Source organism: Homo sapiens, chromosome 11 (assembly GCF_000001405.40).
Source record: "Homo sapiens chromosome 11, GRCh38.p14 Primary Assembly".
NCBI lineage: Eukaryota > Metazoa > Chordata > Mammalia > Primates > Hominidae > Homo > Homo sapiens.
This window is the reverse complement of record NC_000011.10, coordinates 207,673-228,038: the sequence shown is the minus strand read 5'-3', so window position 1 is coordinate 228,038 and position 20,366 is coordinate 207,673. Positions and strand designations below refer to the sequence as shown.

Below are 20,366 nucleotides of genomic sequence, written 5' to 3'. Positions count from 1 at the left end.
GAGGCCTGCTTGCTCTGTTAGGGTTTGAACTGTATCCTGACGATCATGGGAGGCATTGGAGGATTTTTAGGCAGGAAAATGATGTGAAGGGATTTGCATTTAAAAGAGATTATTTGGGACTGGGCACAGTGGCTCACGCCTGTAATTCCAGCACTTTGGGAGGCCTAGACAGGCGGGTCACCTGAGGTGGGAAGCTTGAGAGCAGCCTGCCAAAATGGTGAAATCCCATCTCTACTAAAAATACAAAAATTAGCCAGGTGTGGTGGTGCACCTGTAATCCCAGCTACTCAGGAGGCTGAGGCAGAAGAATTGCTTGAACCTGGGAGGGGAGGTTGCTGTGAGCTGAGATCGCACCACTGCACTCCAGCCTGGGTGACAGAGTGAGACTCCATCTCAAAACAAAATAAATAAATAAATAAGAGAATAAAATAGATAATTTGGGCAACAGGTTGATGTTAATTCCCCACCTTTGTTCTTCTCCTTCAGTACTGTGTTGGCTGGTCTGAATCTTTTGGCTTTTCATATAAATTTCTGAAACTGTTGCTATCTGTTCTCTGCCTGTTTTATTTTTGTTGTTGTTGTTTGGATTTTTTGTTTTTTTGAGATAGAGTCTTGCTCTGTTGCCCAGGCTGGAGTGCAGTGGTATGATCTCAGCTCATTGCAACCTCCCCCTCTCAGGTTCAAGCGATTCTCTTGCCTCATCCTCCTGAGTAGCTGGGATTGCAGGCATGCGCCACCATGCCCAGCTAATTTTTGTATTTTTAGTAGAGATGGGGTTTCACTATGTTGGTGAGGCTGGTGTCGAACTCCTGACCTCATGATCCACCCGCCTCGGCCTCCCAAAGTGCTGGGATGACAGGCATGAGCCACCGTGTCTGGCCTCTCTGCCTGTTTTTTAAGACTTTTGTCTTTGGAGTTTTGCGGTTTCTCCACTGTGGTTTTCCATATGAATTTTCTTTTATTTCTTCTGCTTAAAATTTGTAGGCCAGTTGGTCATGGTGGCTCACGCCCGTAATCCCAGTACTTTGGGAGGCCGGGTGGGTGGATCGCCTGAGGTCAGGAGTTTGAGACCAGCCTGACCAACATGGAGAAACCCCATATCTACTAAAAATACAAAATTAGCCGGGCGTGATGGTGCATGCCTATAATCTCAGATACTCGGGAGGCTGAGGCAGGCGAATTGCTTGAACCAGGGAGGCGGAGGTTGCGGTGAGCTGAGATTAGGCCATTGCACTCCAGCCTGGGAAACAAGAGCGAAACTCCATCTCAAAAAAAAAAAAATAATAATAATAATTGTAGGCCTTCCTTAAGAAAAATAAAATAAAATTCTAGGCTGGGCGCGGTGGCTCCTGCCTGTAATCCCAGTACTTTGGGAAGCTGAGGCGGGTGGATCACCTGAGTTAGGAGTTTGAGACCAGCCTGGCCAACATGGTGAAACCCCGTCTCTACTAAAAATACAAAGATGAGCCATTTGTGGTGGCACCCATCTGTAATCCCAGCTACTCGGGAGGCTGAGGCAGGAGAATTGCTGGAACCCAGGAGGCAGAAGTTGTAGTGAACCGAGATCATGCCACTGCACTCCAGCCTGGGTGACAGAGCGAGATGCCATCTCAAAAAAATAAAATATAAAATAAAATTCTAAGCCCTGCAACCAACTGAATGGAGCCCTCCCCTTGGTCAAGGGAACCCCAGAGAAACCTTGGAAGCTTGAGTTCCTGGCCGTAGCAGGAGAGGAGGTCAGACGCGCCTCACTGTACCCCTCCCTCCCCAGCCACCATTAGGCTTCTTCACTAAGGGCTAAACAGAAACCAGCCCTTTTCAAAGACTCTACACTGCTAATGTGGATTACTGGTTTATCTTCCCAGATACAGATTAAAGACAAGATGAGATTAATGGTTCCTTCACCCTTCCCTGAGAGGTCTGCTTAGTTCTCTTCCTCTGTTTCCTTCTATCTTAGGTAAAATGTACATTTACTGGGCACTTACTGAAGTCTCACAAGTACGTAACCACTCACCTCACAGCCACCCTCCCTCTTTGAAGGACCACATGTAATTACTAAACCTCCTGAGAACCTCTTGGGACAGAAACAAGCACAGATGTGCCGTGACTCATGTTTTTCCTGTGGGCACCCTCAGGCTGGCTCAGTAGCCCTCACTTGCTTGAGATCCTGAATCTGCGGGTTGGCGTCTTTCATGGTTGCTGGATCATACTCTGCCGTTATCTCTTCGGATATGAGTTGCCCCTAGCCCACTATCTGGCCCCTCTCTTTAGGGACCTCTGATTGAACATACATTAGACCTTCTCTCTCCTGCTGTTCCTGATCACTCTTCTGTCCTGTAATTGCTGCTTCTTGTGCTGCATTCTGGGTAATTTCTTCTGGTCTTTTTTCCAGTTTACTAATATTGTATTCTGTTATAAGGTCCTTCCATTGAGTGTTTCTTTCTTTCTTTTTTCCCAAACAGCAACTCAAAACAGACATTGAGTTTTAATTTTGGTTCCTGTACTTTTTATTTCTAGAAGTTCTATTTGGTTATTTTTCAAGTCTGCTACATTATTACATAATTTTTTAATAATTTTATATCTTTAATAGATAGTTTTTTGTTTTGTTTTGTTTTGTTTTGTTTTTTGAGACAGAGTCTCGCTTTGTTGCCCAGGCTGGAGTGCAGTGGTGCAATCTCAGCTCACAGCAACCTCCGCCTCCCAGGTTCAAGTGATTCCCCTGCCTCAGCCTCCCAAGTAGCTGGGATTACAGGCACGCATCACCACGCCTGGCTAATTTTTTGTGTTTTAGTAGAGACAGGGTTTCACCATGTTGGCCAAGACAGTCTCGATCTCCTGACCTCGTGATCTGCCCACCTCGGCCTCCCGAAGTCCTGGGATTACAGAGCTGAGCCACTGCGCCTGGCCTTTGATAGATATTTCAAGTTCATCTTTTTTTTTTGCTTCCTTAATTTTTTTTTTTGCTATACCCCATGCCTCCAAGATAACAGTTTTTTCTTTTTAATTTAAATATAATACAGTTTTACTGTGTATCCAAGAATATCTGAAATCTTTCGTGGGTCTCTTTCTTTTGTCTTTTGTATCTGTTGCTTTTTGCTGGGCTGAGCCTGCTTAAAACAAGCCCCGTTAGCTGTAAAGGTTTACCTTAGAAAGTCAGGTGTCTTCCTCTGTAACTCTCTCCCTTTTCCATCTGCTCCAAGGCATTTATTTATATTAATCTTGACGCAAAGGGAAGTTGTGTCCACTTCACCTTGGCCAGTAAGGAAGCAGTGTTTGGCAGATGTTGTTACTCCTAATAATGCCAGCCAGTGAGTGAAGCTGACCTGAATGCCTCCCAGGGCTGAGGCAATGGCATGATCACCGAAGCTCAAACCAGAGACAGTTTCACCTTTCTGACTGAATAGTGTTCGGTGTAGGCCAAATGCCTGCAGACTACTGTTTGAGGACTGGTGTGGTCTACCAGGTGTTTCCTTAGCGCCTGGATGTCTCTGGCTGCCATCCCAGGGATAGAGCATGGTGTTAGATACGCTAGATGCCTGCCGAAGTAATTATGGGTGAAACATATGATGTCCAAGATTTGCTTTTAAAGGCTCCAATACCTCCTCCCAGATTCCGGAGGGCTGTGAAACAATTAGCTATGAAAACTGGTAATTCCTGAAGCTGGGTACATGGGGGTTCATGATCCCTCTCTCACCTTTTTTGGGGGAGAATGTTTGAGACTTTAATAAGAACTTGTTGCCTTTTCCTTTTACAGGGTGTTGCAGGCATCTTCCTCAGGCCTGTTTTCTCTGTTTTCCAGGCTGACGTGATGGCAGACAGGGTTCCCCGCTGCCCGGTCTGCACCGGCGTTGTGAAGCCCGACATTGTGTTCTTTGGGGAGCCGCTGCCCCAGAGGTTCTTGCTGCATGTGGTTGATTTCCCCATGGCAGATCTGCTGCTCATCCTTGGGACCTCCCTGGAGGTTTGTCAGCAGGCCTGTGCAGGGAGGAGGCTGGAGGGCAGGGGAAGGGAGGGGTACAGGAGTCATCTCATGGGCTGTCGGCAGGCCTGTGCAGGGAGGAGTCTGGAGGGCAGGGGAAGGGAGGGGTACAGGAGTCACCTCATGGGCTGTCGGCAGGCCTGTGCAGGGAGGAGGCTGGAGGGCAGGGGAAGGGAGGGGTACAGGAGTCATCTCATGGGCTGTCGGCAGGCCTGTGCAGGGAGGAGGCTGGAGGGCAGGGGAAGGGAGGGGTACAGGAGTCATCTCATGGGCCCTTCCAGGGCTGGTGCCACTTTGGGAAGGTGAATGGATTCAGCTGGGGTTCCAGGCTGAGGGAGCAGCAGCCTGTGCAGGAGACAGGAAGGTGGGAAGCTGCTGGGCTTTGGAGGTGGTATAGGTGTGGGTGGGGCACCACGTGTGAGGAGAAGGGAGAAGGATGGGGGTGTGGGGGCGAGGTGGAGGGGCAGGGCCTCCCAGGTCAGATCAGGAATACTGATGCTGCAGTGGGAGGAGTGATAAATCCACAGGGACTGGCCCGGGGACGTAGCTGCACCCTTGGGGTCAGGGAGGCCTTTGGGGAGTGGAGAGTGGAGCAAGCAGTGCCAGGAGGCTGGTCCTGGAGAAGGTGGAGCTGTGGTCGCCTGAGGGATGGCGAGGAGGGGGACTGGACTCGCAGTCTGTGATGTTTTGGGGACGTGAGAAGGAGGCGTCTGGCTTGGTCTGTAAGGTCAGGGCACTTGCTGGTGAGGCGTGATTTGGGAGGGAGGATGCCCAGCTCGGTTCTGTGTGTGTCTGAGGTGTCGGGAAACATGCCCTGGATGTGTTCAAGCAGCTGTTCTGCGTCTGCGTCTGCAGCTCAGGAAATTCCTAAAAGCTGTGATGAGAGCAAGAAATGAGACCATGAAGTCAGTGTGTGCGTGACTGGATGTAGGCACCGAGGACAGAAGGGCCAGAAAGACCTGTGCTCAGAGGGGCCCAGGGCAGCCACAGGGGCCCAGAGCATGTGTTTGTTCAGGCATTCATTGTGTGCTGGGCCCTGCTCCAGTGCTTTGGACATACACGGTCAGATGTCAGTGTAAGAAGTTATATAGTTTGTTAGGAGATGATTGATGTTATGAGAAAGATAACAAGTAGGATAGAAAGGCTAGAAGGGTTGGGAACCAGCTGCAGTGTCAAGTCAGGCAGGTGGAGTTGGATCTAAGAGTTTACCGAGGTGAGGAGGGTCTGGCAGGGGACACTGCACAGGTGACAAGCAGCAAGGAGGGTGGGGCGAAGTCAGCATTGATGGCCACGGGGCTGGAGCAGAGAAGAAGGTGGGGCACAAGTGTCATCTCATGGGAGGCTGGCGCCACCTCAGAAGGTGAATGGGTTCAGCTTGGGTTCCAGGCCAGAGTCTGAAGTTGAGAGGACTCCGTTGGGTGCTGGGCTGTGAGCCCACCATGGGGGCAAGACTGGGAGCAGCAGACCCAGCAGGGCCCTTGTAGGTAATCACCGGCTGGCACTGGCTGGGGGCCAGGTAAAGCCAGCAGAGGCTGAGGGGTGCTGGAGTCTGGGTGTGTGTGAACGCAGAGTGGGTACGCTGGCACAGTGCATGGGAGGCCGTGGATTCCCAAGGACCCCAGGGCTGTGGCTGGAGCAGCTGGAAAGACGGAGCCGCCGCTTCCTGAGATGGAGAAGCCTGGTAGGTGGGTTTGGGGGAGCTCAGGAACTCAGCCTTGTTTCCACGGATTTGAGGATGTGCTGCGGACTGGAGGTGTTGAGCAGGTGGACATGAGTCTGGAGTCCAGGAAGGCCCAGAGGCAGGAGCTGGGGTGCTGGAGTGAGCAGACAGGAGAGCCCAGGGTGTGGACAGACATGAGAATGCCATGCTAGGCCTAGGATGGAGGGACAGACACAGGAGGAGCAGTCAGAGGGGCCATGGTGGTCAGCACAGTGTGGGCTGAGACCAGCTGACCGTGCTGGCCACCAGGTGTGGACACTTGGGCCACCAGCCATCTTTATTGTTGAAGTGAAATGAAAATGGCCTTTTTCCTGATTATAAGTGTATCATGTGTGTCTTTGAAAAGATTCGTACATTATATAAAGATATAAAGCAAAGGATCAACTTTTTAATCCCACCAACTGTTAGCATTTTATTCTGTGTCCTCTCAGCTTTCTTTTTTTTGTACAAATGCATACGTACAGATGGTAATTTTAAACTAAAAGTTGGACAGCACTGTACATTCTATTCTGCAGCCTGCTGTTTTCACGTAACAATGTGAGTCCATGGAGATGTGCTGCGTTGTTAATGCCAACAGTTTCCCTTACACGGATATGAGGTCCCAACTGAGAAACCCATGTCTGTAAGGCTGGTGCCATCATGAACTGAATGAGCTGGTGTCACGCACAGACTCTATCTCATGTGCTTTGTGGACGAAATGTTAATGTGTTTGACTGTGGAGTACCACTCCAGATCCCCTTTAGGTGTGACATAACGTGGGATGTAAACCATATGATCTTTTCTAAAATCTCAAAAATTCTGAAACATATTCAGCCACAAGAGCTTTAACATAGATTTTGTGGATTTAATACAAAATTTATGTAAGCAATTTCTTACTGATGGACAATGATAATAAATAGTATATAATTTTTACATTAAAAGTAATGCTGGGCCAGGCACCGTGGCTCACACCTGTTATCCCAGCACTCTGGGAGGCCAAGGCAGGAAGATTGCCTGAAGCTAGGCATTTGAGACCAGCCTGGGCAGTATAGTCAGACCTCGTCTCTACAAAAAATAAAAAGATAGCCAGGCATGGTCTGTGTAGTTGCAGCTATTTGAGAGGCTGAGGAAGGAGGATTGCTTGAGCCCAGGAATTTGAGGTTATAGTGAACTATGATCATGCCACTGCATTCCAGCCTGGGTAACAGAATGAGATCCCGTGCTGTAGTGAATATCCCTGTGTATCATCCTTATCTACTCATGCAAGTACTCCTGAAGGGTAAATGCTGTAGTGAATATCCCTGTGTATCATCCTTATCTACCCATGCAAGTACTCTGGAAGGGTAAATGCTGATAAATACTGAGAACTTGCCTTCCGGTGAATATCCCTGTGTGTCATCCTTATCTACCCATGCAAGTACTCCTGAAGGGTAAATGCTGTAGTGAATATCCCTGTGTATCATCCTTATCTACCCATGCAAGTACTCTGGAAGGGTAAATGCTGATAAATACTGAGAACTTGCCTTCCGGTGAATATCCCTGTGTGTCATCCTTATCTACCCATGCAAGTACTCCTGAAGGGTAAATGCTGTGGTGAATATCCCTGTGTATCATCCTTATCTACCCATGCAAGAACTCCTGAAGGGTAAATGCTGATAAATATTGAGAACTTGCCTTCCAGAAAGATGTAACAATTACACTGCCACAAACTGTGTTTTTATGTAGCCATTTTATCACATCCTCACCAAAACCAAAATCACACAAATCAAATTGGTTAAAAAATGCATGTGTGTGTGTGGAGGGGGGTGCGGATTTTGCCTTTCTGTAGTAAAGAATGAAGTTCATCTTTTCATGTTTATTGCCAGTTGTGTTTCTTCTCTTTGGATTGTATATTTGTACCTCTTGACCATTTTTCATTGGGTCATTATAAATTAGCAATATAAATTAGTTTTAATTTTAGTATAAATTAAATAATATAATTACATTTTAATGTTAATATAAACTTCTTTCTTTTTTTTTTTTTTTTTTTTGAGACAGAGTCTTGCTCTGTCTCCCAGGCTGGAGGTTCAGTGGCGCGATCTCGGCTCACTGCAACCTCCACCTCCCAGGCTCAAGCCATTCTCCTGCCTCAACCTCCCGAGTAGCTCGGATTATAGGTGCGTGCCACCACGCCCAGCTAAGTTTTGTATTTTTAGTAGAGACGTGGTTTCACTATGTTGGCCAGGCTGGTCTTGAACTCCTGACCTCAGCTGATCTGCCCGCCTCGGCCTCCCAAAGTGCTGGGATTATAGGTGTGAACCACCATGCCCAGCTGTTAATATAAATTTCATTATAAATTAGCATTATAAATTAGTTCATAAATTATATGTTTATAAATGAGTTTATCAATTAGCAATATAAACTATTGTCATATGTTGTAAATATTTTTGCAGTTTATGATGATGAGAGGTTTTTAAAAATTTTAAATTTTCTACATAGTAGTTTTATGTAGATACCGAGATAATAGTATTTACATAGTCAGATCTGTCATTTTCCTTTGCCTTATCTGACTTCAGTTTTTACGCCTAGAACGTTCTTCCCTATCCTTACTTGTAAATCCTTAGTTTTCTTCAAGAACTGTTTTGTTTACATTGAAACCTTTAATCCATTTGAATTTTTTTCAGTGGGAGGTAGGAATGGAGTATTTTCCTCCCAGATAATGAGCCAGTTTTAATGCCATTTATTAATGTATCCATTTTTTTACCTTGTTCCTCTTAAAAGAAGCTTTGAGAGCTGTATGAAGAAGCCTGATGGCACCGAGCTAGGCCTCTCTAGAGGCTGGGTGGGGAAGACCATGGAGAGACGTAACAGTAACTCCTGCTCGGGGGCACCAGCTCGTCTGGGTGCCCGATGCTGGTGGTGGCTGTCAGAGCAAGCAGGGCTAGCCAGAGGAGATGGACGAGTCTGTGCTGTTGTCCCTCTGCGTCATGCTGGGAGACAGCGAGGTGGGGAGGACAGGGAGAACAGAACGTGCTCACAAAGAGGAGGCAGGAAGGTTGGATCCCTGATGAGCCTTGGAACGGAGGTGGGGAAAAGCAAGGATGTGTGGAAACAGCAAGAAGTGGGAGAGAGAGAGAGAGGCGGAGGGGAGAAAACCGTCACGGAGGCCAAGCGGCAGGAGCTCAGCTGAAGAAATGAGATTGGTGGTGGGTTTTCCCTATATCGCAGGCTCTGACTGCCAATCTGCTGCTCCTCCAAGGCCTCGGTGGCTGTGGCATGAAACATCCTGAGGAGCTTGTAAAGTGGACACTGTGCCCCTCACGTTTGGCCCATTTTTCAGGTGGAGCCTTTTGCCAGCTTGACCGAGGCCGTGCGGAGCTCAGTTCCCCGACTGCTCATCAACCGGGACTTGGTGGGGCCCTTGGCTTGGCATCCTCGCAGCAGGGACGTGGCCCAGCTGGGGGACGTGGTTCACGGCGTGGAAAGCCTAGTGGAGCTTCTGGGCTGGACAGAAGAGATGCGGGACCTTGTGCAGCGGGAAACTGGGAAGGTACAGACTGCTGAGGAGGACCATCCAAGGGGCTGCCCTTCTCACTGCTCTAGGGTATGGTCCACCTGATATGGAGCCCCGTTGGTTAACACAGTAACAGTAATAGCTGATGATGCTGTGAATCCTGCACCAGGCACTACCTGGACCTGACTGGGTGTTACTTTCAATACCTCCATTTAGAGATGAGGAAACAGATGCTAACAGGCCAAGCAGGGACACGGTCCAGACACTCAGGGCTGATGAGTCTGTATTCTTAACAGACTATAGGCGTTACCTTCACTCCCTAAAATAAAGCAGCCAACAGTGTCCCTCTAAGGCCTGGTATGTGATTCTAAGATGATACGGGTTAAAGAACTTTGAGAAGCTAAAGTTCTCTGCATCTATGTGGGATGAAGGCTACATGAGTGATGCTTTTCGGAAGTAATTGGTATGAGAGCCATTGATCAATTATAATCCGCTGAGGAAAGCCAAAGAGCCTTGATGCTTTCTAAGAGATTTCAAACCGCCTATAAACAAGTGAAGTTACAGAAAATGCAGTTTCCCATAAGAATCATGTAGCATGTGTAGCCTTGATATTAAGGGTTTTCAATGGGAGGTGGTAGCATTAAGCATTTAAAGTCCAGTGTCATGATTACAGGCAGGTGTAACACTGTCCAAAGGGGATTTCACCAGTGTATTAGTCTGTTCTCTGGCTGCTCATAAAGGCATACCTGAGACTGGGTAATTTATAAAGGAAAGAGGTTTAATGGACTCACAGTTCCATATGGCTGTGGGGGCCTCACAATCATAGTGGAAGGCAAAGCAGGAGCAAAGTACTGTCTTACAAGGTGGCAGGCAAGAGGACGTGTGCGGGGGAACTGCCCTTTATAAAACTATCAGATCTTGTGAGACTTATTCACTATCAGAAGAAGAGTGTGGGAAAGACCCGCCCCCATGATTCAGTTACTTCCACTTGGCCCCACCCTTGACACATGGGGATGATTACAATTCAAGGTGAGATTTGGGTGGGGACACAGCCAAACCATATCAACTACAATATATCACAGTTGATGCTCCTCTTGCCTTCCAAGGCAGATGTCTTAGGAAATCCTGATCCTTTTTCCTTGTCCACAGCTGTGGCTGCCTCATGGCTCAGGGCCATGGGGTCAGCACTCTCCTCACCTCCACCAGTCCAAGACCTCCAACCTCTGGTTGCAGGCTGATTTTTTACCAATCATGGTCACTTCATTATGGAGGCAGGGAACCCAGCTAACAATGAGGCTTAAACGCTGAGAGGCGAGTGCCTCCTGGCCAGCTCACAAGGCAGCGGAGATCTTAGATCAGCCCAGCAGGCTTTTTTGAGGGATCCTTTTCCTGCTCCAACTTCATATTTTCTTTTTTTTGTAATGGAGTTTCACTCTTGTTGCCCAAGCTGGAGTGCAATGGCACGATTTTGGCTCACTGCAGCCCTGCCTCCTGGGTTCAAGTGATTCTCCTGCCTCAGCCTCCTGAGCAGCTGGGATTACAGGCATGTGCCACCATGCCTGGCTAATTTCTGTACTTTTATTAGAGATGGGATTTCATCATGTTAGTCAGGCTGGTCTCAAACTCCTGACCTCGGGTGATCCACCTGCCTCAGCCTCCCAAAGTGCTGGGATTATAGGCATGAGCCAGCAGGCCCGGCCCAACTTCCTGTTTTCATAGAAAAGCAGATTGTAACTCTGGTAGCTCCTGTGGAGTTTTGGAAGTGGCTTAATAGGATTTGAACTGTATAATCTAGTTTCAGAGAAATGTATGTAAAATGGGTTATGATTTCATTTTCTGTTTTTTACAGCATTACTATCCAAGGGGTTACTTTTCCAAATAGTGAATGCTTTTAAGCACATGAGCATCAGTACATATTGATTTGGGTACTTTAAGACCCATAGAATGAGGCTCTCCATTTAGCCACCCTGTTCTGCCCAGGCCTGCTGGGATCCTCTTAGCCCAGCACAGCAGCAGCAGTATTTGCAGAAAGCAGCTTGTTTTGTGAAATATTTTGCATGTCTGCAGCTAGAGCTGTTTGAACAGAGATCTGCTGGCCTGCCTGGGTGTGTAAACAGATAGCTGATACCCTCTGTCTTCTGTATTCCAGCTTGATGGACCAGACAAATAGGATGATGGCTGCCCCCACACAATAAATGGTAACATAGGAGACATCCACATCCCAATTCTGACAAGACCTCATGCCTGAAGACAGCTTGGGCAGGTGAAACCAGAATATGTGAACTGAGTGGACACCCGAGGCTGCCACTGGAATGTCTTCTCAGGCCATGAGCTGCAGTGACTGGTAGGGCTGTGTTTACAGTCAGGGCCACCCCGTCACATATACAAAGGAGCTGCCTGCCTGTTTGCTGTGTTGAACTCTTCACTCTGCTGAAGCTCCTAATGGAAAAAGCTTTCTTCTGACTGTGACCCTCTTGAACTGAATCAGACCAACTGGAATCCCAGACCGAGTCTGCTTTCTGTGCCTAGTTGAACGGCAAGCTCGGCATCTGTTGGTTACAAGATCCAGACTTGGGCCGAGCGGTCCCCAGCCCTCTTCATGTTCCGAAGTGTAGTCTTGAGGCCCTGGTGCCGCACTTCTAGCATGTTGGTCTCCTTTAGTGGGGCTATTTTTAATGAGAGAAAATCTGTTCTTTCCAGCATGAAATACATTTAGTCTCCTCAAAGGGACTGCAGGTGTTGACATGAGTTGGAAAGGGAACCCTGGGATACGTGGCGTCCCCTCTATTGGAACAGTCTGAGGACTGAAGGCATTTGTCCCTGGATTTATTGGAGACGGCCCAGCTCCTCCCTCTGAAGGTGGTCACATTCTGTTGACTCTCCATACTCAGCCTCTCCTCCAGAAACAGATCTGTTCCAGAACATTCCAGCACTTTCTATCTGGCCTCCTTGTCCCCACACTACGCCCCCCCACCCTCGCCAGGGCTTCCTCTAGTGACACTGTTAGAGCTAATCTCTGAGACAGGGAAGGCATTACTCACTTAAAACCCAGGCTGAGTCCTGGCCACCTGCTGGATTGTGACATAGGAGGTGGAATCCACTGAACTGCTACTTCTGCACAGGCTCCTTCTCCTGGGGCTGTACCCAGGCCCAGCCCTGATGGCTCACCCTGTCAGGCACCAGCTGCTCCCTCCTGGGCTCTCACCCACCTGCACATCCTCCTTCCTAGCATCACATTACCTGCGTGTTTCCCCAGACAAAAGCACTTCCCATTCTTGAACCTTGCCTACCCTGGGCTGAGCTGACGGCAATAGATTTAATGACAGTGACTCCCAGGAAGGGGGTCCTGTGACTTTGCGCCTTAATAAGAACAAAAGGTGGAATTGGTGACCTAGGAAAACTGTTGAATTCTAAAAAGAATGAAGTTAGTTTCTAACCCTAGTTAATGTTCCTTTTTTATTTTTTGAGTCTTGCCCTGTCACTCAGGGTGGAGTGCGGTGTTATGATCTCAGCTCACTGCAACTTCCGCCTCCCGGGTTTAAGCGATTCTCCTGGGTAGCTGGGATTACAGGTGTGTCCCACCACACCTAGCACATGGGCATATTTGTAATAGAGACAAGGTTTTGCTATGTTGGCCAGGCTGGTCTCGAACTCCTGGCTTCAAGTGATCCACCCACCTCGGCCTCCCAAAGTGCTGGGATTACAGGCATGAGCCACTGTGCCTGGCCCCTTTATTTGATAATTTACACATACATTTTTGTCCAAAACTCTTCTTTATTTCAAGATGATGTTTCTGTGGCTATGTGTGGTATGTGGTATAAATCTCAATCTATGGTCACACGAGGGGCATTTTCCTTGTTGTAAGTGTAGTCTAAACCAGTAGGAAGGAGGTTTAATTGCCAAAACCAGCGAGAACTCGGGCACTGTGGATACTACAGTGGGCAGCTGAACGAGGACCAAGGAGAATGTCTAAGAGGCCTCCAGCCCTGCGCTCAGTGAAGACAGGACAGGAACAACAGAGCATACATACCTTGGAAGGGTGTGTTCTGATATACTCGTATGGAAAGTTCTGACAGGTTTTCTCCCTGGGAAGTGCAGCACATACCCCAACACACTGGCTCTGCCAGTGTGCCAATCCCAGATGGTGCTTGCTTTGTGTGCACCCACACCCAAACCCCTGCCCTCCCATATGCTCTTCTGTGTGCCCAGGTAGGCCCTGCCCTCAGGCAGCAGCTTCTGAACACATTCCTCTTGGCGCAGACAAAAGAAAGTACTTCGTCTGTGGAATTCGAGGCTGAGCCTGAGTTCTAGCACAAGAAGACCGTTGCAGTCCAGAGATGAGAAACTGGACCAGAGGCAAATCATGAACAGAACGGGAGTCAAGAGAAGGGGTTTCTAAGATGGAGAAGTGGGGGCGGGTGTGGATCCAGTGGGATGTGGCTTCCCCAGGTTGCAACCCCAAGGAAGTCTCTGGAAGCAGCACCAGTCCTGATGGGGGAGCAGAAGAGCTGCCATCCTCAGTCAGGGTCCGAGTCAGGGTCCGAGGAGAGCTGCTGCTCCATAGTCTCGCACATGGCATCCTGCAGGGACGTAAGATGACCCCGGGGACTCATCCCCATTGGCTGGATGACTCTGTTCCTGTTGGGGAAAGGTGCAGTGGGGCTGGGGAAGGGGCCCAGTTGGCCAGGCAGGGGTCCTACTCACCCGTGGCTGCTACCTTCCTCTCTACCAAGTAGGCTGCTCCCATTTACTGGGGAAGCCTGGTTGGACCTTCTGTTAACTGGGCCCAAACCCTAACTGCTGCCTCCTGGCTTTAAGCAGTTTCCTATTTTAAACATCTAAATTGGCCTTAAGCAGGCTCTTAATTTGGACACTGGGCCATCTCCAATAAATCTGGCGACATTAGTCTCTTTTTTTTTTTTGAGACGAAGTCTCACTCTGTTGCCAGGCTGGAGTGCGGTGGCACAATGTCAGCTCACTGCAAGCTCTGCCTCCTGGGTTCAAGTGATTCCCCTGCCTCAACCTCCCGAGCAGCTGGGACTACAGGCGCCCACCACCACGCCCAGCTAACTTTTTTTTTGTATTTTAGCAGAGATGGGGTTTCACCATGTTGGCCAGGATGGTCTCGATCTCCTGACCTTGTGATCTACCTGCCTCAGTCTCCCAAAGTGCTGGGATTATAGGCGTGAGCTACCACGCCCGGCCTTAGACAGTCTCTTAATTTCTCTGGGCCTCAGTTATCATCTGTAAAAGGGGCACAATACTGATCTCAATATACCCATCCCCTGGGGGATTTCCTCCAGGGCAAGTGATTTCAAACGTGAGCAATGCAACCTAATACCAGGATCCTAAGCTCTCCTCTGATCCTACCTCCTGGGGCTCACAAGACAGGATGTGGGTCAGCTCTCCCTTCTCCCAGCTGCAGGCCCCTCCTCCTCATGCCACACACCTGGAGAGCTTGTCAAACATGGTCACCAGCTTCATGGCCTCGTGCTCCTTCTGCTCCTCTGTCATGCCCTCCATAGGGTTAGGCGGCTTCTCCTCCACCCTCCCGGTCACAGGGTTTATGCTGTTTCCCAGTGGGTGGAATGTGGGGAATGCATTAGTGACTCTCCAGGACAGGAGGCAAGCCACCTATTTTCCCAGTGGGGTGAGGTGGGCAAGGCAACTGCAGGAAGAGGCCTCCCTCCAGAAGCGGCACAGGTAACCAGCTCCTGCCATCTGCCACCTTCTGGTATCCCAGATAGCACTTAGGAACAGGTGCTTGATTCTGGAAGCTCTTGCCCATTTGTCATCCTGTCCCACCCTACAGGGGTCCACATGGGTGTGGAAGCAGGGACTATGGGGCTGTGAGTGGAGACCCGAGGGTGTGTTGGGGGTACACACCTGGCTTTGGCTTCCTTGTACTCATCTGTGTCTGTGTCCTCATCCTCTGAGTACTGGCCCTCGGGCCGGCCTCCTGCCATGAGGCCCCTGGCAGCCAGAAGGCCAGCAGCATTCCCATAGCCTGTGTACTTGATGAATCGGGGCACTGAGGGGCAAGGCAGAGGTCAGTGTGCAAGCCTGGCTGAGGTGGGGTGGGCTGGGACCTGGGTCTCCATAACTCACCACTCTCAGAGCACAGGACAAACAAGAACTCGGCAGCCACCCTCTTCACATCTGTGTCCAGGTGTGTCATGAGGCGGACAAGCTTGTTCCGCAGCATCTCCCCAACCTCAGGCCGTGTCCTCACATCCCGCAGAGGGGGCAGCACCTGGGGAGGTGGCCATCCCTAAGCTTGGGCTTAGAGCAGCCAAGGGTCTGTGATCAGGGCCGAAACCACATCCCCCAGGAGCACCAGCTCCTCAGCCTTATACCTGGGCCTTCAGGAACTTCCTGGCTGGGCGGTGCATCCGGGCACATTCAGTCAGCACGCTCAGCACGGGAGCTACACTCTCCTTCAGCCTGTGTGTCTGTAGAGGATTCTCTGTCACTGGGGCTATGCCCCTGCCTAACTTGTGACTGGCACAGAGTTACACCTCCCCACCACCCCTTCCCACCAACATACACAACAGCTGGTCCTGGCGGCAGAGGTTTGGGAAGAGGCCCCTCTGCAGTTAGTCAGCAGAAGGCCAAGAGTGGGTGGTGGGTGTCTGTGTCACTTTTGAAAAGGACAGGGATAGAGCGTAACTCAGAGGTACTCGTAAGCTTTGTGACTTGGGAGAAATAACTGCTTTAAGTCTAATTACTTCAACTATAAACCAGAGCTGGGAAGAAAACACAAAGCAATTAAAGCTTTAGACTCGCACACACATTGCCCTCAGATGTTGGTGGCAAAAAGAAACGAGAACCGAATCCCCGCTCTGTGTACTTCGTGGACAGAGCAGGGAGTTCTTGACCCTCCTAGCATAATGTGCCTGGACCCCAGCACCAGCAGTGGCAGCGACGGGCACAGACAACCCCCTAGCTGTGTGTCCAGTGCCAGCTCCCTATCCTGACTGGCTCGCAGGCACCTTGTGTGTCCCTTGCTTAGGCAGGTAGATTCCCAGGAGGTCTACTAAATCTCGGTTTATTGTACTCCAGCCTGCTTTCTGCAAGCTCCTGGAAGATGGTTAGAGCCCCAGCTGTCCAGATGCCCTGTAGTGCAGTCACAGCAATCAGAAGGAAGCTTTGATCTGAGGTTCCTATGGGTCTCCTCAGGATGCTGAGGGACAACTATGCTTGTAATCAAGGGCTGCCTGTGTTTAAGACTTAAAAGTAGGGACTGGGGGGCTTCTCTGGACCACTCAGTAAAGATCCCCAAAGATTTAAGAAGTGAAACCTTCAAGTGTGTGGAAGGTGTCCACATGCTTCTCATGGAGGAAGGGTCTGGCTTCTTGCCAGGCTGGACCACAGAACAACCGGAAGAGTCGCCCATATCACACCACCAAGACAATCTCCACGTACCAGTGTGGACAGTGTGGAAGCACTGACCACATCTGTGCAGGAGAACCAGTGCCAGAGCCACTGGGGGAGCCTGCACAGCCATCCCCAGCCTACCTTGTGCAAACGCTTCTCTAGGAAGATGAGGAGGGCACGAATCACATCCATATTCACTCCCATGAACTCCGTGGAGTCTCCATGTGGCTCCAGGGTGAGGAGAACATCCAGACACTTGAGGGGCAAGTTCCCCAGGAGGTTCACTGCGTGGCTGGGGACAGATGGAGGTAGGGGTTTCAACAGGGCTAATCCCTGAGCACAGGTGCAATCTTTGTGACTCCGCTGAACCACACATTACATGAGCTGGCATCTGAGTCCCAAAGGGGCAGCGCTAGGGACCAAAGCCAAGGGCAGGGACTGATCTGAGAGGCACTGCCACTCAGCTGTACAGTGGGGTCCCCTGGGGAAGTGGGGGCACTGAGACACACTGCCTCCCCGACCCTGTCTGAGCCAAAGCGCCAGACCATCTCTGGAAACCCAGACCAGCCTAGGGGCAGGTAGACCAAAAACGGGGACAAGGAACCAATGTGCCCTAGTAAGTACCATACTGTTGCCACTACCCAAGGCCCAGTTGGCACATTCCTGCCCCCAAATTCATGGCTATGTCCAGTCTCACTCACCCAGACAACGTCAGACTCTCTAGGGTGGGGCCTGGGCTCTCAGGTGGTTCTGGTTCAGAGCCGGGGTTGAGGACGACCATCTAGACATGTGGGCACACTTCCCTCCCAGAAAAAGCCCCATTCTCACCCGTGGAACTCCTCTGTGCGGTCTCCAGCAGTAGCGATCATCACACAGTGCCGGAGAAGGGTCCCCAGGTGTCGGTAAAGGGCAGCGTCTTCCTGACCAAAGAAAGAAGGGTTCCTGTGAGGAGCCCCACTCATCCCACTGCTGCCTGCTGAGGCTCCACTGTCTGTTGCACTCCAGGACTGTGTGGCAATGACTGTGCACCTCCTGTACTGCATACCTGGTCCCCTGGGGTCTTCCTAGGTGACTCTGGGTAGTGCTGGGGGCAAAAGATGACCACTGCTGTCTTCCTAAAAACTCCATGAGTATTCTTCTAAGAGCACTTCCCTGATTAGGAATGCTAACACATACCTTAGGGATGAAGTCACACTCTGTCTCAGCCCCACTCACAGCCTCATGGTGGAGGATCTCTTACAGTCTCCCCAGACACCACACAGCCCTCCTGCCAGGCAGCAAGAGCCAGAAGGGGCCTCTACTTCCCTCAGAAGCCTTTCCTGAGGTCCCAGCCCAGAACTGGCATCTCCTTGGCCTTGTCCCAACAGGCTGGGAGGTCCTGTCCTCTCCATGTCTGACACCCAGAAACCTGAAGGTACCCAGTAGGAAGCAGGTCCAGGAAATGTTGGAGCTGAGTTGAGACCCATCCATGGGTTAAGGTCAGTGCTCACCTCGTCCACCTCCCCCTTGATGGAGTCCAGGGTGATGTTGAAGAGCACTTTGAGGATCTCCATGGCCCGCTCAGTCTCTTGGGAAGGAAGGAGCGTGGGTGGGGGGTTCCCTTCAGGAGTCACCCCCAGCGTCAGCTCCAGTGTGTCAGTTAGCAGGCGCACTCCTTTCAGCTCCTGAAACAGCTGCTGGCGCACATCGGTGCGGAGTGCCGTTAGCAGGAAGAGGAGCCGCAAGTCAAAGAACTGGACATCGTGGGGGAAGCTCCTCTCACGGTACAGCCCCACACGCTCTGTGAGCTTCACCACTAGGCGGGCCTCTGCTGCCAGCATCTGTGCCACAGGGCTGCTGAGCACGAGGTTGCACAGGCACTTGAGGGACTCCAGTACAACATCCATGTCTGCGGACTCTGGGACGGACCCCTCAGAGACAGAGATGTCAGCATAGCAGGCTAGTGCCTGCAGGCTCTGGCGGCTGGTGAACGGGTCCAGGCAGTTGCGGTCCCGGGACAGGATTCGGACACTCTGCAGCCAGATGACACGGTGGGAGGGTGGCAAGCCCTGTTCCAGGACGGAGACCAGCAGCTCCGCCAGTCTCTGTGGGCAGGGAGAAGAGCGGCTCCACCAGGCCCTTCTTCCTGGGGCCACCCGTCCCTGCCCCTTTACCCCTTGGGCCAGCACCCACCTTCCGGTCCTCCTGTTGGGCATCATCAAACGTGAAGCTCTGGGAGTGCTGCAGAGAGAACTAGTGAATTCAAATCCACAGAGGGGTAGGATCCGCGTCCGCTGATGCGGGCGGCCTATTGGCCTCTAACTCAGGCAGCAGCCACTGCTCAGAACGGATGGCAGGGTCGGCACTCGCCCCCATCCCTACACGCCTGCCACCCAACGGGTGCACCCCCACTCTCCCCGCAACACTGCATCCCAGACCTGCCCCCCGCACCCCGCCGCGTCCCCTACGCTTGCTGACACAGCCTCTGCCTCACCCACGCCCTCCCTGCTACCCGCGCACGACCCTGCCCCACCCCCTCCGTGCCCGCCCCCCGGCCTCAGGCGGCCGCTTACCTCCTGGTTGTATGACCGCAGAGCTTCCATAATCACATCCTCCTCACCCGTCTCCACGGCTTCTGCAACCGCCCGGGGCTCCATGGCGCGCCGGGGAAGGCGGGACGGGCCCTTCCTCAGCCGTTCCGGGCCGCAGTTCGCCGGCCCCGCCCTGGCCCAGAAAGCCCCGCGCCAGCGCGCGGGGGAGGCCGGGACGGGGCGCGGCGTCTGGTGGCGCTTTAACGGGGCGCAGCGTCTGGTGGCGCTTTAAGGGGGCGCGGCCTGAGGCAGAACTGGCGGCTCGGAGGTTTTAAGACCCGAGTCGAGGGGCTGAGTCGCTCTGAACCGAACTGACCCCTCTCCTTGTGACCCGCGCTTCTTGGGCCAGAAGTTCCAACAGGAAACGATCTCAGCCCCCACCGTGCCCTGCCACACACACAGTGACGCCCCTCGAGCTCCACAGAACCGATGGGATGTAGAGGGGAAAGCCGAAGTGGAAAGGAATTTTCAGTCCTGGGCCATTGGGTTCGTTAGGCGTTTGCTGGGGAATGCAGGCGAACGGGATTCCCAGGTCCCTGCCTTTGTGGAGCTTATGTTCCAGAGGGGAAGGGGGACAAGGAAAAACAAAAGGACACGAGGCGGTCACAGGGCTGTGCTTCAAAAGAAGCAAAAGGCGACTGCTGGGCTGCAACGGGCTGTGAGGAAGTGCTGTTTTTGCTGACACCGGACGGTGGGAAGTGAGCCGGGAAAAGACTGGAGGAGCCACTCCAGGCAGAAGGAGCAGCACTTGCAAAGGTGGAGGGGCCGAGAGAAAGGGGAGCAACCCAGTCTGGCCTGGACTCAGTTCCCTCTTGAAAAGCAAAGATCCTGCGTGTCCGTTTCAGTGGCCGTCATGAGGATTCAGTGACGCACAGGAAGCGCGATCCACTCGCTCTTCTAACAAGTGCCCGGGAGCAAAGGCGTCTACGGCCCCCAGTCCCCGCGCCGCCTCCCAGTCTCTCTCCCGGCTTCACTTTCCTGTAGTGCGTTCTGTACGGCTGTATTCGACGCGGCGCGCACTCGCAGGCACGAGCGAGGCGCCGATCTCCACTTGACAGAGGAGGCACCCCTGCCCCCACCACACCCAGTGCTCCTCGCGGGCTTCTGCCCGAGGGGTCTGCTCCTTCCTCATGACCCGCCTGTGAATCCTTCCTAACCGTTAGGACCTAACCCACAGAAGCGTCTTTCCACCACCATCGTCTAGGCACTGAGCAAGCAAACGGCCCCGCCCCGCCCCACGTTCACAGG

The 20,366-nt window shown here is 51.5% G+C and overlaps 2 protein-coding genes and 1 non-coding gene across 44 annotated transcripts in view, besides 9 other annotated features; 1 reads left to right on the top strand and 2 right to left on the bottom strand.

The window, feature by feature from the left end:
- SIRT3 (sirtuin 3) overlaps positions 1–13,009 on the top strand; it is a 21,902-nt gene extending 8,893 nt beyond the window's left edge. For 14 of the 38 annotated variants that reach the window (NR_163388.1, NR_163386.1, NR_163400.1 and 11 more), the window contains 3 exons: positions 3,800–3,961; positions 8,998–9,207; positions 11,321–13,009. Coding sequence is in view for 20 of the 38 variants with exons in the window: in NM_001370320.1 (NP_001357249.1) it covers positions 3,800–3,961; positions 8,998–9,207; positions 11,321–11,341 (393 nt within the window). In the remaining 18 variants the exon portion in view is untranslated. Of the gene's footprint in view, positions 1–1,957; positions 2,367–3,799; positions 3,962–8,438; positions 9,262–11,320 lie in introns of those variants that run through there. The other 24 variants (NR_163390.1, NR_163398.1, NM_001370322.1 and 21 more) reach the window with 8 other exon arrangements.
- Positions 12,926–20,331, bottom strand: RIC8A (RIC8 guanine nucleotide exchange factor A). Of its 5 annotated transcripts, none has more exons than NM_001386942.1 (10): positions 19,101–20,331; positions 18,721–18,864; positions 18,039–18,632; positions 17,377–17,468; positions 16,690–16,840; positions 15,528–15,623; positions 15,280–15,424; positions 15,058–15,202; positions 14,621–14,740; positions 12,926–13,809 (listed from the first exon to the last, which is right to left on the bottom strand). In NM_001386942.1, exons 3-10 carry the CDS (start codon positions 18,432–18,434, stop codon positions 13,689–13,691), a joined length of 1,266 nt encoding a protein of 421 aa, NP_001373871.1. In that variant the 5' UTR covers positions 18,435–18,632; positions 18,721–18,864; positions 19,101–20,331; the 3' UTR covers positions 12,926–13,688. The 5 variants fall into 5 exon arrangements, with proteins under 5 accessions (NP_001373871.1, XP_047283349.1, NP_001373870.1 ...); XM_047427393.1 differs by having other exon boundaries at positions 15,280–15,442; positions 18,721–18,780; NM_001386941.1 differs by having other exon boundaries at positions 18,721–18,780.
- Positions 18,463–19,050: an enhancer, noted in NCBI's record as "H3K27ac-H3K4me1 hESC enhancer chr11:208989-209576 (GRCh37/hg19 assembly coordinates)". NCBI's record gives its function as "activates a minimal SCP1, AML or CMV promoter by ChIP-STARR-seq in primed H9 embryonic stem cells {active_cell/tissue: H9 hESC(primed)}" and the evidence as "EXISTENCE:reporter gene assay evidence [ECO:0000049][PMID:30033119]".
- Positions 18,463–19,058: a biological region, named in NCBI's record as "H3K27ac-H3K4me1 hESC enhancer GRCh37_chr11:208989-209576".
- On the bottom strand, positions 18,633–18,703 carry MIR6743 (microRNA 6743). Its single transcript, NR_106801.1, has one exon. It is a non-coding gene; the product is annotated as a microRNA 6743 (primary transcript).
- Positions 18,949–19,058: a silencer, noted in NCBI's record as "silent region_2988". NCBI's record gives its function as "represses an Ori minimal core promoter by ATAC-STARR-seq in GM12878 lymphoblastoid cells {active_cell/tissue: GM12878}" and the evidence as "EXISTENCE:reporter gene assay evidence [ECO:0000049][PMID:35858748]".
- Positions 19,125–19,744: an enhancer, noted in NCBI's record as "H3K27ac hESC enhancer chr11:208295-208914 (GRCh37/hg19 assembly coordinates)". NCBI's record gives its function as "activates a minimal SCP1, AML or CMV promoter by ChIP-STARR-seq in primed H9 embryonic stem cells {active_cell/tissue: H9 hESC(primed)}" and the evidence as "EXISTENCE:reporter gene assay evidence [ECO:0000049][PMID:30033119]".
- Positions 19,129–19,418: a silencer, noted in NCBI's record as "silent region_2987". NCBI's record gives its function as "represses an Ori minimal core promoter by ATAC-STARR-seq in GM12878 lymphoblastoid cells {active_cell/tissue: GM12878}" and the evidence as "EXISTENCE:reporter gene assay evidence [ECO:0000049][PMID:35858748]".
- Positions 19,419–19,617: a silencer, noted in NCBI's record as "fragment chr11:208422-208620 (GRCh37/hg19 assembly coordinates)". NCBI's record gives its function as "represses an EF-1alpha promoter that drives an FKBP-Casp9 reporter gene in an ReSE screen in K562 erythroleukemia cells {active_cell/tissue: K562}" and the evidence as "EXISTENCE:reporter gene assay evidence [ECO:0000049][PMID:32094911]".
- Positions 19,720–19,889: an enhancer, noted in NCBI's record as "experimental_20222 CRE fragment used in MPRA reporter constructs". NCBI's record gives its function as "activates a minimal promoter by MPRAs in K562 erythroleukemia cells, with activity observed for the non-introgressed 11:208235 variant allele {active_cell/tissue: K562}" and the evidence as "EXISTENCE:reporter gene assay evidence [ECO:0000049][PMID:34662402]".
- Positions 19,720–20,366: a biological region, named in NCBI's record as "H3K27ac hESC enhancer GRCh37_chr11:207673-208294".
- Positions 19,745–20,366: an enhancer, noted in NCBI's record as "H3K27ac hESC enhancer chr11:207673-208294 (GRCh37/hg19 assembly coordinates)". NCBI's record gives its function as "activates a minimal SCP1, AML or CMV promoter by ChIP-STARR-seq in naive and primed H9 embryonic stem cells {active_cell/tissue: H9 hESC(naive and primed)}" and the evidence as "EXISTENCE:reporter gene assay evidence [ECO:0000049][PMID:30033119]".

Coding starts and splice junctions, on each gene's coding strand:
- RIC8A (XM_047427393.1), bottom strand. CDS start 19,184: ATGGAGCCCCGGGCGGTTGCAGAAGCCGTGGAGACGGGTGAGGAGGAT. Junction 15,443..15,527: donor GGAAGTTCCTGAAGGCCCAG/GTATAAGGCTGA, acceptor GCCCAAGCTTAG/GGATGGCCACCTCCCCAGGT. Junction 15,203..15,279: donor TGTCCTGTGCTCTGAGAGTG/GTGAGTTATGGA, acceptor CTTGCCCCTCAG/TGCCCCGATTCATCAAGTAC.